General features: G+C 38.0%; 1 annotated feature.

Annotated features, from left to right (window-relative positions):
• Positions 15794-15893: an enhancer, noted in NCBI's record as "active region_27607". NCBI's record gives its function as "activates an Ori minimal core promoter by ATAC-STARR-seq in GM12878 lymphoblastoid cells {active_cell/tissue: GM12878}" and the evidence as "EXISTENCE:reporter gene assay evidence [ECO:0000049][PMID:35858748]".

Below are 18260 nucleotides of genomic sequence, written 5' to 3'. Positions count from 1 at the left end.
TGTTAGATCTAAAGGAAGAAATAAGAGATTATTAATCCTCTTGATGAAAGGCTCTAACATGCTATCAACTAGAGGGTCAGTAAACAATAACTACTATTACAGATAACATATATCCAGTGCTTCCAATGTGTCAGGCAGTGTTCCATGCTCTTTAAATATATTAACTTATGTAATCTGCAAAATAACCATACAAAATAGGTAGCATTCTTATTCTTTCTTTATAGATGGAGAAACTGAGACAGCATTTATGAGACTTCCCTAAACTTAGGTCTAATGTGGTAGGCTGAATAATGGTTTCTCAAACATTTTCATATCCTAATCCTCAGAACCTATGAATGTTACCTTACATCTTAAAAGGGACTTTGCAGGTGTGATTAAATTAAGGATCTTGACATGGAAAGATTATCCTGTATGTACTATCCACGTAAGCCCAATATAATCACAAGCATTCTTAAAACAGGGAGGCAGGAAGATCAAAGATGATCAAAGAAGGAAATGGGCCAGTGGAAGTCAGAGTGATGCGCTTTGAATGTGGAGTAACAGGGCCGTGAACCAAGGAATGCACGCCATCTCTAGAAGCTGGGCAAAACAAGGAAATAGGTTCTTCCCTGGAGCCTCCAGAAGGAATGCAGCTCTAGCAATGTTGTGGTTTTATCCTAGTAAGACTCATTTTGGACTTAAGGCCTCCAGAACTGTAAGAAAATTAATTTGAGTTGTTTCAAGCCACTAGGTTTGTGGTCATTTGTGACAGCAGCAATAGGAAACTAATACAACACAAGTATATTTAGTTCTAAGGGACTTTAGTCTGGAAGTAGAACAGGCTGAAAAATGTACTTTTTGGAAATGCTAAAAGAAATGACTTACTAAAAAGCCATAAACTTAAGGGATTCTAGCCAAGCAAAAGAGCTCCACTTGAGGAGTCATTTCCAGACCTTGCTCTGTTACTGGCTAGCTCTCACACGCGGAACAAATCACCTCAGCTCTCAAAGCATAGTTTTCTCATCTTTAAAATGAGGATAGTGGCTGGGCACGGTGGCTGATGCCTGTAATCCCAGCACTTTGGGAGGCCGAGGCAGGCAGATCACCGAGGTCAGAAGTTTGAGACCAGCCTGGCCAACGTGGTGAATCCCCATCTCTACTAAAAATACAAAATTATCTGGGCGTGGTGGCGGATGCCTGTAATCCCAGCTACTTGGGAGGCTGAGGCAGGAGAATCTCTTGAACCTGGGAGGCGGAGGTTGCAGTGAGCTGAGACAGAAGCCACTGCACTCCAGCCTGGGTGACAGAGCAAGACTCTGTCTCAAAAAAAAAAAAAAAAAAAAAAAGAAAAAGAAGAAGATAGTGTACTGGTGTAACTAGGTCATTTCTGTGAAAGTTATTTGAACAGGTAATATATATGTGCTGATAGCACAGAGTTGAAAAAGTTTACATGAAAAGTTGTTCTCTCACTCCTTGTCCTTCAGATGTCCAAGTCCCCTTCCCAGAGACAATAGTTACTCGTTTTCTTATGTATTCTTCTAGAGATTTTCCATGCATTTACATAGGTATACATATGCATATTATTTTTATTGTACAAATGATTGCACCTTAAACATATGGTCCTGCACTTTGCTGTGAAAATGACAAATAACTTGGGGATTATTCCATATGATTTCATATTAGTGTATACTGTGATTCATCATTCTTTTAAATAGCATATTCCATTGTTTCTCTTTACCAGACCGTATTTCACCTGTCCTCTGTGGAGACATATAGATTATTTCTGGTCTTTTGCTAATGTAAACAAAGCTACAATGTATATCTTGTGACATGTTACTTTGTATGTGTTTCAGTATATCTATAGAGTAAATATATGAAATTCTGGAGTTAAAGTATATATTAATTAAAAATTTTAATATTGTCAAATTATATTCCCAAGTGGTGTATTCTGGTTGTCTCTTGCTATATATCATACTACTGCATACTTAGTGACGTATTATTATCTCTCACTGTTCTGGGGGTTGATGGGTTCAGCTGGGTGGTTTCTGCTTAACGTTTCCTGTATACCTGCATTTGGATGGTTGCTGAGGGAAGAGTCATCTGAAGACCTTTCACTCACATATTAAGCACCTGGGCTAGAACAGCTAGGGAGTGATAACAAAAAATTTTCAGCCAGCTTTTATTTACCTTAAATAAAATACCTGCATCCCCACCAGCATGTCCCAGACATATCACAGAAGCTGTGAAAAGCCACAGACCTAAAGAGGCCATGTAGAGAGGAAAAGTGGCCAGGTGATGTCTGTGGACAGATGGTCAACGACCAGAAGGACTTCTTCAATGCCCTGTGTGGAAAAATCCCTAAACTATGACTCATCAGGAGGTGAGGTGACAAGATGTAGAAACCCTCAATATAACTTTCTGCCAGCCCTGCAGAATAAGGACTGTGAATATAGAACATTAAATCATATTTCTTATTCACCAGAGGTGGTAGACTTCATTGGTCTACATACACTCTGCTCTAAAATATAGAAATATTTCCATTTATTCAATAAGTGTTTTATTTAGTACATATTTTTTTGCTAGTCACTGAAATAGCAGACATAGTTTCTACTTTTGTGAACCTAACAGGCCAGGAATTAAATAAATCATCATAGTATCACCTACTTAGTTACAATAATGAAAAATACCATGAAGGACAAGCAAAAGGTGTGATGAGGCTTTATAACAGAGACCTAATCCAGGAGCTCAGGTAACCTCTTTGACAAAATGATATTGAGGGAGAGAGGCAGCTTTTCAGAAAAAGTGTCCAAAGAGAGGTACACTTTTTACAATTTTGAAGTCGATGAGGACAGTGATGGAGTTGGACTACGTTTCATAAGAAGTTGTTGTGGAAATAAAGAACATATTTTTACTTTTGAATTAAAAGGTTTAACCGCTAAAAACTAGAAATTTTAGTTTAGCAAATGAATATGGAAGAAAATAATACAAGTGTCTTGCAAAAAATGCATCTACAATAATTTTTTAGTGATTGTTCTAATAACCCAAATTCAAAACTACCTAAATATCCCACAGTAGTGAATTATTTAAATAAATATGGTACAAAACCCAGTAGAGAACTATTCAGCTTTAAAAATGTGGTTGTAGGTAATTTATTAATTGATTATATGAAAAAGAGCTGAAAACAATAATATCCTATTTTATGAAAAAAATTTAATAAAGAGATATATGTTGACATAGGAAATCAGATAACTAAGATTACTTCTGAGCAGTAAGGTCATTTTCTTCATTTGGCACGTCTGAATTTTCTAATTTTTCTCCAAAGTTTTGTACCAAGGGAAAAATGATAAAAGTACATTTTAATTTTAAAAAGTCATTAAGCCTGTAATATTTTGGCTGGATATAAAAAGTCTTGGTGAGAGGGGGCATGGGACTGGGGAAAAGAAAGTAGTAGCTGGGGAGGACTTGTGTCCATGTTTATATTCAACACCTTCCCCGAGAACAAAAGAGACTTTTTAACCTTCTGCTAAAAGGCAGAATCAGAATAAAAGTATGATGTTGTACAGCAGGAAATTCCAGTTCTGAAGACAGAAGAGTTTCTCTGGCAGAAGTAGAGACATCCAATGGGATGAGGCTGCCTGAACACAGGGTGGGATCCCCTTCCCGCTATGTGAACAGCACAACTGCCCAAGAAGGCACAGGGATCAGAGGTGGCATGAGGGACTTCTGTGTAGGTGAGCATTAGATAGTTACTCTGGAGTTCCTTCCAGATTTTACGTCTGTGATTTCATGAATTTCAACACCTCTCAGGCCTTGCCCATAGCCATGTTTGGGGTGTCTTGAGGCTCGTATTTACTGGCTCTTGTCTGGGAAAGTAGAAAGGAATGCCTGGATCTCTTATTTTTATTATGTTTTAACTTCTTCACTAGAAATCAGGCTTGTGAAAAAATATGTGATGTTATTATTTTAATTTTATTTACAGGCTCATTTGATTCAATTATTCCCATGAAAACCAGTTCCGTCTTTTATTTTTGTTCAAAATCTGTCAGCCCCAGGACATGGCAAAGGTTTACTGTCTTTTAAACATCTCATCTAATCTTTTTAAAGAACAGCTTGAGTCCAAAGTTCATGGCTTTTGGCCATAAGGAGCGGCGACAAAATAGAGGTCTCCCTTGCTTATAAAAAAGGCATCTATTGTAAGAAGTATACTTATAAGAAGTTCACATGTAATAATGATACAGATTTAAAGGTGGAGAATCTCCTGAGGTTCAGATCTTGTTCCTGTGGTTACTCTGCTGTCTGACGTGCATAGACTCTCCCACTGAGAACTATGTGCTGAAGCACATTTCATGCATCGTGTTCTAATCTTTATTCCTCTGTTCCATCTTGGACCATTGCAAAAAGCATGAGCCATTTTGGAGCTACATTCAAAGAAGTGTATGTGTTATTTTGACAGTGGCGCCACAGAGACGAACCATTTATACTTGCTTCAAATACCGTGAAAAGCATGAGAGCTAATGCATTCAGTTGCTTTCATTTTCTAGGAAAATAATGCTGTTAGTTTATTTAGAAGCCCCTCACACAGCACAATGGGATACAAACTGCTGTTTTGTTTGCCAGCAGGGTGGACGCTTTTAGAATACAAATTAAGTGCTGAGCTCCCCCTAGTGACAGTAATATAGGTACATTTAAGTACTTTAATACCTTTGCATATTTTGCAATTAAATTCAATTTTGTTTAATTCTGTTAAATTCAGTTGCTTTCATTTCCCTTTCATTTTATATAACAGGTATTTATCAAGTCAGAAATTTTGCTAAGGAAACATTTAGTAAAACTATAATTCTAAAGGATCACTAAAAATAGAAATTACAATAACTGAAAATATTTCGTGTGAGTACAGCAGAGTGTGAAAAAGACAATATTCAAGCTCTATTAGTTTGCGTTCTTGACTGCCATCTCCTCAGTCTCGCCACTCCACCCCAGCCTCTGGTAACCTTCATTTTACTCTCTGTTTCTATGTGTTTGTCTTTTTTATACTCCATATATAAGTGAGATCATAAGTGAGGTATTTGTCTTTCTGTGTCTGGTTTATTTCGCTAAACATAATGTCTTCCAAGTTCATCCATGTTTTCACAAATGACATGATGATAGGATTTCCATTGTGTGGAAATTTTCCTTATAATTCATAGAAGATTATAGGTCATTGAGTATGTGACTTTAGCTATGAGATTGTCCTATTGGGCCTTTATTGTGTTGAGGTACATTCCTTCTAAACCTAATTTTTTGAGAGTTTTTTTTCCTAATCCTTAAAGGATGTTGAATTTTGTTGAATAACTTTTCTGCATCTGTTGAGATTATCATATGGTTATTGTCCTTTATTCTGATGTGATATATCACAGTTTTTGATTTGCATATGGTGAACCATCCTTGCATCCCAGGGATAAATCTTACTTGATCAAGGTGAATGCTCCTTTTAATGTGCTGTTCAATTTTGTTTGCAAATATTTTGTTGAGGATTTTTGCATCCATGTTCATCAGGAATATTGGTCTGTAATTTTCTTTACTGGTCTTTGGTATCAGGAAGACGCTGGCCTTATAAAACAAATTTGGAAGTTTCCCTTCTCTTCAATTTTTTGGAAAAGTTAGAGTGGTACTGGTATTAGTTCTTCTTTAAATGTTTGATAGAATTCAGTAGTGAAGCCATCAGTGGAACTTGTTTACACTTTATATCACTTAATCTTCACAACAACCCTATGACATAGTTACTATTTTCATATTATAGATGTCACAACTAAGGTACAAAGAGGTTAAGTAACTTTTCTAAGGTTACACAGCTGGAAAGTGACAGAACTAGAAGTTTGAACCCAAGCAGTAGAATGCCAAAACCTTTGCCACTGACCTCTCTTGTTTCCCCCAAATAGTATTTCACTGAGTTCCTTAAGAAACATTTTATTGAATGCTGTCAGTATGCTAGCCTTGTGGTGGGTTCTGTGGATACCTTGGTGTGTAGGACTGACTATAATGATGGAGGCCAATAGATGGTTATGGAGCAGTGTAATAGGTGGTGGTAGAAGTCAACATAGGAGCTTAGAGAAGAGACTGGGTAGAAAAAGCTTCTTGTAAGTGATAACTGACTTGAACTCTGGTAAGTGTGTAGGGATCAGAAGCTGGATGTCTGAGGGACTGGAGGCTCTTGGAGAGCAAATTTGCTGAGATAATGAAAGTGATCAACATGATGTCAGGGACTGGGAGAAGAAAGGGAAACTGCAAAGCTGCACAGGCCAACACTGGATATCAAAGAGTCTCTTTCTTTAATATTTTTAATGTTTTCTTGTTTCTGTAAAAATGAAACGTTCATTTTTTGATAAGGGTTTTGATATTGTATGTATTAAAATAGTACATACAAGCACAAAGAAAAAAAATAATCATCTGAAATCTTTCACTCTGAGATTACACCTGTTGACATTTTATTGAACATCCAGTAACTTTATACATATATAAACATACATATACCCATATATGTGGGAGTATGTTTATATATGTTTAGAAAGTGGGATCATACTCTGCATGCTGTTCTGTAACTTCCTTCTATTTATATGTTAGTGATAAGAATCTTGGACTTTATTCTGAAGAAGGATAAGTGAAAAATTTTAAACATGATAGTAACAATTATATTTGTATGTTATGAAAAAATATTATAACAGCATTGTATGGTAGGAATTTGAGGCTCCTGGTGGTGGAAAGACTAATTAGGAGACTGCTTTGGGGACCCAAGAAAGAAATGATGACATAGACCCAGGCAGTGGCAGTGGGATGGAAAAAGGGGATGGGTTCAGATAATGTGGGTTCAGATAATGTGGACGTAAGCTCAGTGGCTTCTGTGGCTGTAGAGCCAAGGTTGTCACGCGGTGGGAGATGAGAGGAAAGAGAGAAATCTTCAATAACTCCCAGGTTGCTGGTGCAGGACCATGTGTAGGTGTTAGTGACGCTGACTAAAGTTTAGGGTGCCTGTGGGATAGCCGACTTGTGACAGCAGGTAAGCATTTAATATGCAGATGTGAAGCTCAAGATAGAGGTCAGAGCTGAAGATAGAATTTTGAACATCGTCAGTGGTTAAAACCACAAAAACTGAGGACTTAATAATGAGAGACATCAAAATGTACAGGCCAGGGAGAGGACTTTGAGTAGGGACTTTGTTTGGGTCAGTGTTGTATCCTCAGACATCCCCTAGCACATAGTAGGCTCAAAAATGTTTCTTTAATGAATAAATGAATAATAATAATAATAAACATTCTATTCAATATGAACTCTTCTAATTGTGGCAGCATAATATTTCATTGAGTAAATACAGCACAATTTACATATCTATTTCCTTATTGTTCCAGTTATCAATGGCTGCCGTAACAAATTGCCCCAAATTTTAGTGGCATAAAACAAAAACTATTTTTTTCTGCAAATAGATCCTGTGGGTCGGGAATTTGAAAGGACCACAGAAGAATGGCTTGCCTATTCTCTCTGGGACCTCAGCTGGGGACATTTTAAGGCTTAATGGGTAATGCTGAAATCATCTGAAAGCTTGTTTGCCTACATATCTGGTTCATGCTGGCTGTCAGTTGAGACCTCAATTGGAGCTGTTGATGTAACATCATGGATTTCAAGAGTGAGTATCCCAAGAGAACTTGGAAGAAGTTGTATGGCCTTTTATGATCTGGCCTAGCAAGTCAAATGGTCATACTTCTGCATAGTTACAAACCCACACAGATTCAAGGGGTAGAAACATAGACCGCCACCTGTCAGTGGGAGGAGTGTCAAAAGTCAAAGTCACATTGTAAGAAAGCGTGTGGGATGAGAGATACTGTTTGGAAAAATACACTCTGTCACAGCTCTTCTGCCTGTGTTCTGCACTATTTGTCAATGACCATAGCCTTTTATCTATATCTGTCTTAACCACCATGTCACAATATTGACAACATTAAGTAGACAATCAACTAAAATCCCTAAATTGTTCCCAAATGAACTGAGAAGCCGGCTACTTCCCTTTCATCTCATACATGCTTTTAAACACAGACTTTGCATTAATTACAATTAAATATAATTATCATTCAGTAAATTTCTAATGAGTCTCTGTCATTTGCTGAGTATTGTTCTAGGCAATGGGGATAGGCTGAATATGACACAGAAAATGTTTTATTCTTTCAAGAAGTTTACAATCTAGAGGGATAATTAGAAATTTCTATACGAGGTGATGGAAATTTATATTAGCTTACTTTTCTAACCATCAATCACTGGTAAGATATAATTAGTTTTTAGAGTACAGTAGCATGAAACAATAATTTAATGGCTTTCTAGACACAAGACATATGATGCCACTGGCATTCCCCGATCTACTAGTCTGATGACCTCTAAAAACAGGAAATGAAATGATTGAGGCATGACTTGTGCTTCATCAGTTCATATGGACTTGGAATGATCACTGCTTCCCTTTTTTCCAACTCTTTTACTTATTGTAAATATCTTAATAATCTTAAAAATCTTTATTAGTGTTTAGTGGCCATTTTTATTTTAATTTTTATGGGTTTGGAACTCCCTAGAATCTCCCTGAAGACATGAAACATACTTATTTCAGCACCTTATTCTGTGCCCTATATTGCATTTTCCCAGGTTGTAGTTTCTGATTATTGAGTTTGTTGCTTCTCTGTACATCTTCTTCTTGTTTTTTTTTTTTTTTTTTTTTTTTTTTTTTGAGATAGAGTCTTGCTCTTGTCACCCAGGCTGGGGCAGTGGCACGATCTTGGCTCACTGCAACCTCCACCTCCCAGGTTCAAGCAATTCTCCTGCCTCAGCCTCCTGAGTAGCTGGGATTACAGGTGCTCACTACCACACCCGGCTTATTTTTGTATTTTTAGTAGAGACGGGGTTTTTCCATGTTGGTCAGGCTGGTCTCAAACTCCCAACCTCAGGTAATCCGACCAACTTGGCCTCCCAAAGTGCTGGGATTACAGGCGTGAGCCACGGCGCCCAGCCTCTCTGTACATATTTTTGGTTGTTTGGTCATTTTAATAGACAGGATACTAATTCAAAGATTATTGGTTTCTGGAGAGTGTAAAAATTCTTGATTGCCAGAACTACCACTCGTCGCAGCAATCCCATTACTGGATATGTAACCAAAGGAATATAAATTATTTTACCATAAAGAGACATGCATGCAAATGTTCATTGCAACACGATTCACAATAACAAAGACACGGAATCAACCTAAATGCCCATCAGTGGTAGACTGGATAAAGACAATGTGGTATATATACACTGTGGAATACTATGCAGCCATAAAAAAGAATGAGACCGTGTCTTTTGTGGGAACATGGATAGAGCTGGAGGCCATTAGCCTTAGCAAACTAACACAAGAAAACCAAATGCCCATGTTCTCACTTATAAGTGGGAGCTAAATGATGAGAACACATGAACACAAAGAAGTGAACAACAGACACTGGGGTCTACTTTGAGGTTGGAGGGTGGGAGGAGGGAGAAGATCAGAAAAAGAGACTACTGGGTACTTGGCTTAGTACCTGGTGATGAAACAATCTGTACAACAAACCCCCATGACACGAGTTTACCTGTGTAACAAACCTGCACGTGTACCACTGAACCTAAAATACAAGTTAAAAATAAGTAAATAAAATAAAGAATTCTTGTTTGCATGGCTAGAAGCTTAAGTTTGGATTAAACCAGCTCTGACTCAAGCAGCTACGTGTGGCAGAGAGAAGGTGGGCTTTTCTTTAAGATGTTAGTATGGTTTGTTTACAGAATATGCAGCTATCATTAGCTGGTGGTGAGGCCCTAACTCTCTGGACTGAGTGTCCATCTTGAGAATCTTTTACACAGAAGCTCTCACTATGTACAGCCTGGAGCACACATCAGCAGCGGACCTTAGGTGGCATGAGGACCAGCTCTGCTTTTACTTTTTGCCTGGCCCCTGCCCAGGGCTTACTTTTTCCATCCAGCCTGTTTATTTTGATTGTGAGACTTTTGCAGAATTCTGCTGGGCAATCTTTTATTTTTAAAGTTCTTGTTCATGGGTCTGGATTCATGGGTTGCTTAGCTCTGTTATATTTCAGCATCAATATATTCCAGAAATTCTTCAATATACTCCAATAACCCCTTCTGAATTTTCTAAAATTTATGGAGATTTATTTTTACTTAATTTTACTCTCCTGACATTTCTATGGGATTTGGGAAGAAAGGTAAATGCATGCATCCAGTCAGCCAGCTGTATCAGGAAGCCACTTACTCCTTTCCATGGTAACCAATTACTAGAAAGCTGCACTGGGAATCACAGCAACCTTGTCCAGTGTGTGCATTTTAGAAGACAGAATTTTTTTTCTGTTCTTACATTAGATCATGCTTAGATCCCTCTCTGAAATTTTTAAAAGATTACTGAGAACAGACGTGTGCTGACATGGACAACTCCTTTTAGTGCTCTGAAAAGTATTTCTCTTGAACAATGAAAATAACTAAATGGAATTAATATTCCTCATCTATCAAATGAACTTTGGGTCTTTCTTAAATGTGCTTGTTTTATCTTTTCCAAGTGCTGAAAGTTTTCATTGAAATTATTTTTCTTGATAGAAAAGAAGAGGATCAGACAGAAGTTGTGTAGTTCCAAGTGTTTATTTTCACCTGTTAAACATTGCGCCACCATCACTAATGATAAGAAATCCTTCTTGTCTTCATTATTTCTCAACATTAATTGCTTTCTCAAGTCTAAACTCATTTATTTATTTATTTTTAGGGATGGGGTCTTGCTGTGTCACTCAGGCTGGAGTGCACTGATGCAGTCATGGCTCACTGCAGTCTCAAACTCCTGGACTCAAGGAATCCTCCTGCCTCAGCCTTCTGAGTAGCTGAGACTTCAGGTGCGCGGCACCATGCCTCACTAATTTTTTTTATTTTTTATTATTTTATAGAAGTGAGGATCTCATTAAGTTTCCCAGGCTTACCTTGAACTCCTGGCTTCATGAACTCATTTAAAGATTTGGCATCCTAGCATTATTCATAGAGGTCCAGACATGACTCTCAATTTGTTTTTTATTTTATATCTCTGCTACAAATTTTTGTACCTGTCCATTTAAAATCTGAGCTTTTGAAAGAACTCTGCACAACATTCACAGCACAAGGGCATTAAGGCAGAAGGGGAAACTAAAGGTCAGAGAATAAGGAGTGAATCATTGGTGATGAAATACAGGCAGTATGAATAGCAAATTATGAAGAATTTGCTGGTGAACTGTTTCACATGTAATAGTTCCTCCTGCTAAGATGGTGGATTCACTGTCACGTCTGACCCATGTTGTTATAACTCTTTTCCACTGAAAGGTACATCTGTGTAATCTAGACCAGCAGACATTTCCTCTGACTTCCATCATGTACACAGTGTCCTATAGATTCCAAAGCTCTTTCAGATATGCTATTACACTTACATTTCCTTCCCATTTTCTTTTTTTTTCCCCCAATAGGAATGGTGTTCTTAGCCTCCCATGTTCATAACAATTTTTTTTTTTTTTTTGAGATGGTGTCTCGCCCTGTTGCCCAGGCTGGAGTGCAGTGACGCAATCGCAGCTCACTGCAACCCCCGCCTCCCAGGTTCAAGCGGTTCTTCTGCCTCAGCCTCCTGAGTAGCCGGGACCACAGGCGCCCACCACCACGCCCAGCTAATTTTTGTAGTTTTTAGTAGAGACGGGGTTTCACCATGTTGACCAGGCTGGTCTTGAACTCCTGACCTCGTGATCCACCCGCCTTGGCCTCCCAAAGCACTGGGATTACAGGCGTGAGCCACCCCGCCCGGCCGTTCTGAACGAAGGAGGTTACTGGTAGCCAGGGGAGAACTGACTGTGCTTTCAGGCATAGAGAAAGGGTTCAGGAGAGGAGGGGAAGTGAAGTCATCAGGTGGGAATGTGTAGCAAGCACCTATCTCCCTGGTTCTTCTATAATCACTCTTTCTCTTCTTTGAAACTCCTTCCTGGCTTCATCCATACTACATGCTCTTGATTTCCCTCTTACATTTCTGGCTCTTCTCAGTCTCCTTTTCTGGCTTCTTTTCATCCATTACAACTTCTAATGTTTTTAAAAAGGCAAAAGCTTGCAGCATCCAAAGTGATATTCTCTATGGAACTTAACATGGGATGTTATTTTTGCCTTGTGAGAAGCACTTTTAGGTTATTCAAAACAAAAGCTGAAACTGGAAAGAAATGTAACCAAATGCTTAGTGTAATAAAAATGTGTTGATGGTCGGGTGTGGTGGCTCATGCCTGTAATCCCAGCACTTTGGGAGGCCGAGGCAGGAGGATCACTCAAAGCCAGGAGTTTGAGACCAGTCTGGACAATACAGCAAGATTCTGTCTCTACAAAAACTAAACTTAAACAAAAAAATTAGCCAGGCATGATGTCACATGCCTGTAATCCCAGCTACTTGGGAAGCTGAGGCAGGAGAATCCCTTGTGCCCAGGAGTTCATGGTTACAGCAAGCTATGATTGTGCAGCCGCACTCCAGCTTGGGTGACACAGCATGACCCTGTCTTTACTCAAAGAGGAAATGTCTATCACAATTCCAAAATAAGCATAGTTTCCTTAAAGAAAATGGCAGAAATACTCCGGTGCTTTCACTAACTCATTTAAAATCTGCTTAAACTTATTTATCATTGTATTTTAAAACATTTTTGTTACATTGTATTAGTGAACACAATTCAAAATAATACCAACCATTTAAAATAAATTTAGGAAGCCTAGTTGGAAATGCTAAGCATCACCTAGATATGTGCAAATACAGATGCTCCTGACTACCAATGGAGTCACATCCTGATAAACCCATCCTGAGTTGAAAATACCATAGCAAGCCCATTTTAAGTTGAGGAATGTACAGAAAGTGAACCACTTTTGAGCTATTGTGAAGTGAAAAAATGCAAGTTGAACCATCTTAAGTAGGGGACTGTCTGTAGCAAACAATTATATCCTCACCAAGTCTTGTATGTGCATCTTACTATTGACATAAAGGTGTTGGATCTAGCGGGCCTAATACCTGTGTATATTTTAAACATTTTGAAAATTTTACTTAAAATGAATTTTATTTTTTACCTTCCATGGGCAGCTTAGCTAGTATGATTAAGGGAGACAGAGTCTCACTCTGTTGCCCAGGCTGGAGTGCAGTGGCGCAATCTCAGCTCACTGCAATCTCGGCCTCCCACGTTCAAGTGATTCTCCTGCCTCAGCCTCCTGAGTAGCTGGGACTACAGGTGCCTGCCATCATGCCTGGCTAATTTTTATATTTTCAGTAGAGATTGGGTTTCACCATGTTAGCTAGGCTGATCTTGAACTCCTGACCTCAGGTGATCTGCCCACCTCGGTCCCCCAAAGTGCTGGGATTACAGGCGTGAGCCACTGCCCACTGCACCTGGCCATTGTTAACTTTTTAGAGTGAGTGTTGGGGTGGGAGATGAGAGCAGAGACATGGGTGGGAGTGAGGGTGGGGGTAAGAGGGAGGTTGGACCGGTTGTGGTTGTAGCTATAGCCTGTTTCCCAACTTTTGGAAAATATGTTTTTTTTTTCATTAGGAAGAGGAGAAATAGTCTAAATAACTAGGGAACCCTACACCAATACTTTAAAAAGAATTAGAACAAATTCCTCTAATTAAAATTTCATATGCTTTCTATAATATATATATTATATATATATGCAGTGGAATATTATTCAATCATAATAAGTATTAAAACTTTTTACAAAAGTATTGATAGTACAGCATGTATGAATCTCAGAAACATTATGTTAAGTGAGAGAAGCTAGACACAAAAGGTCAGACATTGTATGATTCTATTTATATGAAATATCCAGAGTAGGTAAATCCTTAGAGCTAGAACATAGAATAGTGGTTGCCAGACACTAGGGGGAGGGAGGAATGGAGACCAACTGTTTAATGGTACCAGGTTTCCAGCTGGGGTGATGAAATGCTTCCGAAACTAGATGGATGTGCTGGTTGCACAACACTGTGAATATGCTAATAGCCACTGAATTGTTCACTTCAAAGTGTAAATTAATTTTATGTTATGTGAATTCCACCTCAATTAAAAAACAGTATATAGAGCATAAACCTATTTTTTGGAAAATATTTAGACCCACTTTTAATTAGAATAGTTTTACAAGTAACTTGATAGTTCTTAATAATAAAACACTGAAGGCTGGGTGCGGTGGCTCATGCCTGTAATCCCAGAACTGGGAGGCCAAGGCAGGCGGATCACCTGAGGTCAGGAGTTCAAGACCAGCCTGACCAACATGGAGAACCCCTGTCTCTACTAAAAATACAAAATTAGCCGGGTGTGGTGGCGCATGCCTGTAATCCCAGCTACTCAGGAGGCTGAGGCAGGAGAATCACTTGAACCTGGAAGGCGGAAGTTACGGTGAGCCGAGATCGCACCATTGCACTCCAGCCTGAGCAACAAGAGCGAAACTCCATCTCAAAATAAATAAATAAATAAATAAATAATAAAACACTGATTTTAAAATCACATGACTTTGTAGGGTATCTGTATATAAATCCTGAAATTCTCTGTCTGCTATAGATAAAGTCCTGTGTGTTTTATAGCTGGTTAATGTGATGCATAAAACAGCACTGTGAAGCTTTATGTCTAACCAGGACTAAATACATATAGGTTATGAATAGTTTTCGAATTTGTTTTAAATACAGTTCTGCTTGGTAACAAGTTAACTGTCCTCCTAACATGAAATGAATAGATTTTTAATGGAAATAAGAGAAACAGCTATCTTGATTTCTTGACCCTTTCACAATAAGCTACAATACATTATATAAGGTTTATTTTAACAATACACAGCTTAAGAGTTGTCTAGCAAGCACAACCCACAGATATTTGAATCTGATACTTTTTACACCTGCAGAAGGTTTATCTATGAAAAGCCTGCAATGATGTGCAGCAAAATGTTCACAGTGCTTATTTTTTCTGCACTTATCTGTAGTGAGTTTATTTTGTGATTATCTGTACCTTTTAACTTTTCAACAATGAGTATGTGTTACTTGAACAAAGATACACTTTTTATAATGTTGTCCATGCCTCCATATTTAACCTGCTATTCTTTCTTTGCAATCTCAGATATAGTCTTACTCTTGAACTTTATTGCCAAGTACAAGGACAATGGCTTTCTCTTTGCTTCCTGGTGACACTTTTAGGCAAATATCCTCTTTTCATCCTTCAAAAACCTGCTCTCAAGCCATGTCACTCCCAGGCATCTCAGCCAACCGTGAATGTCCTTGGGGTAAAGAAGAGCAGTATACAGATGCCAGGATACCCCACCACATTTCTGCTTTCATTGACACGCTCAACCTCAATCAACTGTATCTGCTCTTTATTCCCACACCTCATGGTGGAGCTTTCTGCCTCTTCCTGATCCAATAGGGCAATCAATCTGATGCCTTCATCTCTGGAATTCTTGTTTATGGGTTTATGAATTCTTGTGAAATTCAATATCCCTTAATCTCTAAAGGTAGAGATTTTAGGTAACTCCAGAGGGTACGTAAGGCCTTGTGAATTAAGGAAAATTGCCCAAGGTCACATCACTGGACAGTCATGTCTAGCTAGAATCCAGACTCCAATTCTAGGGAGTCTGGTTTATTTCTGTAAACCATAATGCCACAGATGTGAAGCCTAATTCAAGAACATCTCCATGGCAAACTCTTGTTTTAGTTAGAGAAATAGGAAAACATGACAAAGAATGTGTCATCGACTTCTATTTAAACGTTCAAGTTCCTCATCTTCAAGGATTTGCTGGATGACAGCTAACAAACAGTCAGATTGGATGATTCACAAAGACCGTTTCCAGTGTTTAAAAAAAATATGCTGGGGACTTTCATAGAAATTTCTACTTTTCTGAAAGCATTTTATTTCTTCATCTTTCTCTTCCTGCTCATATCCACATTCTTGTTTTCTTCCTGCTGACTGCACATAAACAGGATGTGTGGAAAGCAAGTCTAAAGAGGTAACTAAGTGAAAGGTTCACCGTTGATGTAAATCAAGAGTAGATCAGTGAAGTGGAAACCAGCAGAACTGCTTTACTGTTAGTATTCAGAGACACTAGCAAAAGAAGCTAATGTTGGTTCATTGTGAGCTAATAAAAGCAATAACCACTGGAAGATAGAGCTGAACTTTCATTTACTTACTTTACTTTTACTATGGTAATATTACTTAATAACTTTCCTTTAATGAACTCATTAAGATCATAAGCGAGTGCTTTTAATATTAAGTATGCACCTCCCCCCCACCCAAATTATACTGGTTGAATTTTCATGTTAAAATAAAGCAAAAATAAATATTAATATAAAATATTTAATCAAATATTTTAAAAATTTCAGTAGTAAAGTAAACCAACTCCAGCAGAGAAAGGGTTATCACACACACACACACACACACACACACACACACACACACACACACACCCTATCTGATGAGTTCTCTTTGCCAATAAAACAAACCAACAAACAAAACTGATCAAGAAACAAGACTATAGCTGGGCATGGTGGCTCATGCTTGTAATCCCAGCCCTTCAGGAGGCTGAGGTGGGCGGATCACCTGAGCCTGAACCCAGGAGGCCAAGGCTGCTGTGAGCTGAGATGGTGCCATTGCACCCCAGCCTGGGCGACAGAGCGAGAACAAAACAAAACAAAAGAAACAAGGCTATAGACAAGTCTGAGCTATTTTAGAAAATGGCACATGGTTGTTAATATCCAGTGAGTTCTACTTAGATTTTTCTTCTGTTTTTTCTTGTTCAACACCCAAATCTGTTAGTCAAGAGTAGTAAAGCCACTAAGTGTATTTTGTTGTTGAAGCTACAACATACAAGAAAAAAGAAAACATAGAAAGCAGCATTACTGAAACACAATTTTAGGAAACATTAATTCTCAGTATTGTGAACTAACTCCAAGAGGTATTCCGACGGACATTACCCCCATCATACTTTAGGATGTGGAGGACCTTTAATTAAAAACCCCAAGGAAAAAAATTTAATTATTTCCTTTTTGGAAAAAATCCATAGTTCTATCAGCCTCATTGTTCAAAAATTCTTTCATTTCCTCTCTTTCATGGTGAAATTCCCTCCTTTGTCTTTGGAAGTGAATTTGGTTATTACCTTTTGTAAATATTTTAGATTATCTGTAGAAAAAGGGAGAACCATGAATAGAGTCACATTCTTGAGCTATGATTTGAGATACTTATTTGCCCTTAAGAAACATTAAATTTCTTCCTTGTTTTAGTAAGAATGCTTTATTTCCTTTAATGCCCAGGGGGTATGTTGTCACATTTTCACTTTGAAGATAGAAATTTCCCACACTTTCCCATACTGAATTAATATTGACATTCATTAACAAGACTAGCAACAAGTGTCAAAATATAAATGATTACAGCCCCGTGAGCAGGAAGGTAGAAATTACTTACTGTTTTTCCTTGGGGTGGTAATTAGCTACTGTTTGCCGTCTGTAAAATCACAAGTAAAATGTGGATTATGTTTCATGAGATGAAAAGAACATTTCAAACATAATATCTTGAGTTAGTTCTCACAACACCTCTGTTAGAAAGTATGAACATCACCATTTTTACTGACAAAGTCATCCACAGAGAGGATAACCAAGTAGAAAGAGGATTCAAACTCCTCATCTTGACTCCAAACTGTAAGATTTTTCTACAGTGCCTTCTTCCTTCCCTCCCTTTCAAAGTTTTGTTTCCTCTCTTTTAACTATTCTTACTTCCAATTCAAAGGCAAAGCATTTGTATAAATACATTCGCAGACTTTTCTTATCTATAATGGGTGATTTCTAGTCCCCTCTTTTGAGTATTCCCAAAGCTGAGGGAGAAAGGATGCTTCGAATTAGCTTTTGCTGTCAGTTACACAGATTTTTCTTTCCTCATTAACCTGAAGGAATCCCATAAACATAATTTAAGAACGGTAAAAATGGTTTTTGACTTTCTTTATTTTCATGTCTCCTTTCTCCTCCTCATTCTGTATTCTGGCGTTGGAGAAGAGCTAGAGAGAACATCCTTAAAGATGCACTTTTTTTTTTTCAGTATGCCCTATTTTTTTTGATAAAATTGTGGTGAAAAACTCATAATATAAATTTATACTCTTAACCATTTTTAAGTGCACTATTACAATAGTGTTAACTGTATCCACATTATTGGGTAACAGATCTCTAGAACTTTTTCATCTTGCAAAACCGAAATCCTTTGCCCATCAAATAA

Source organism: Homo sapiens, chromosome 8, assembly GCF_000001405.40.
Source record: "Homo sapiens chromosome 8, GRCh38.p14 Primary Assembly".
Taxonomy (NCBI): domain Eukaryota; kingdom Metazoa; phylum Chordata; class Mammalia; order Primates; family Hominidae; genus Homo; species Homo sapiens.
This window is presented reverse-complemented; position numbering and strand designations above follow the sequence as displayed.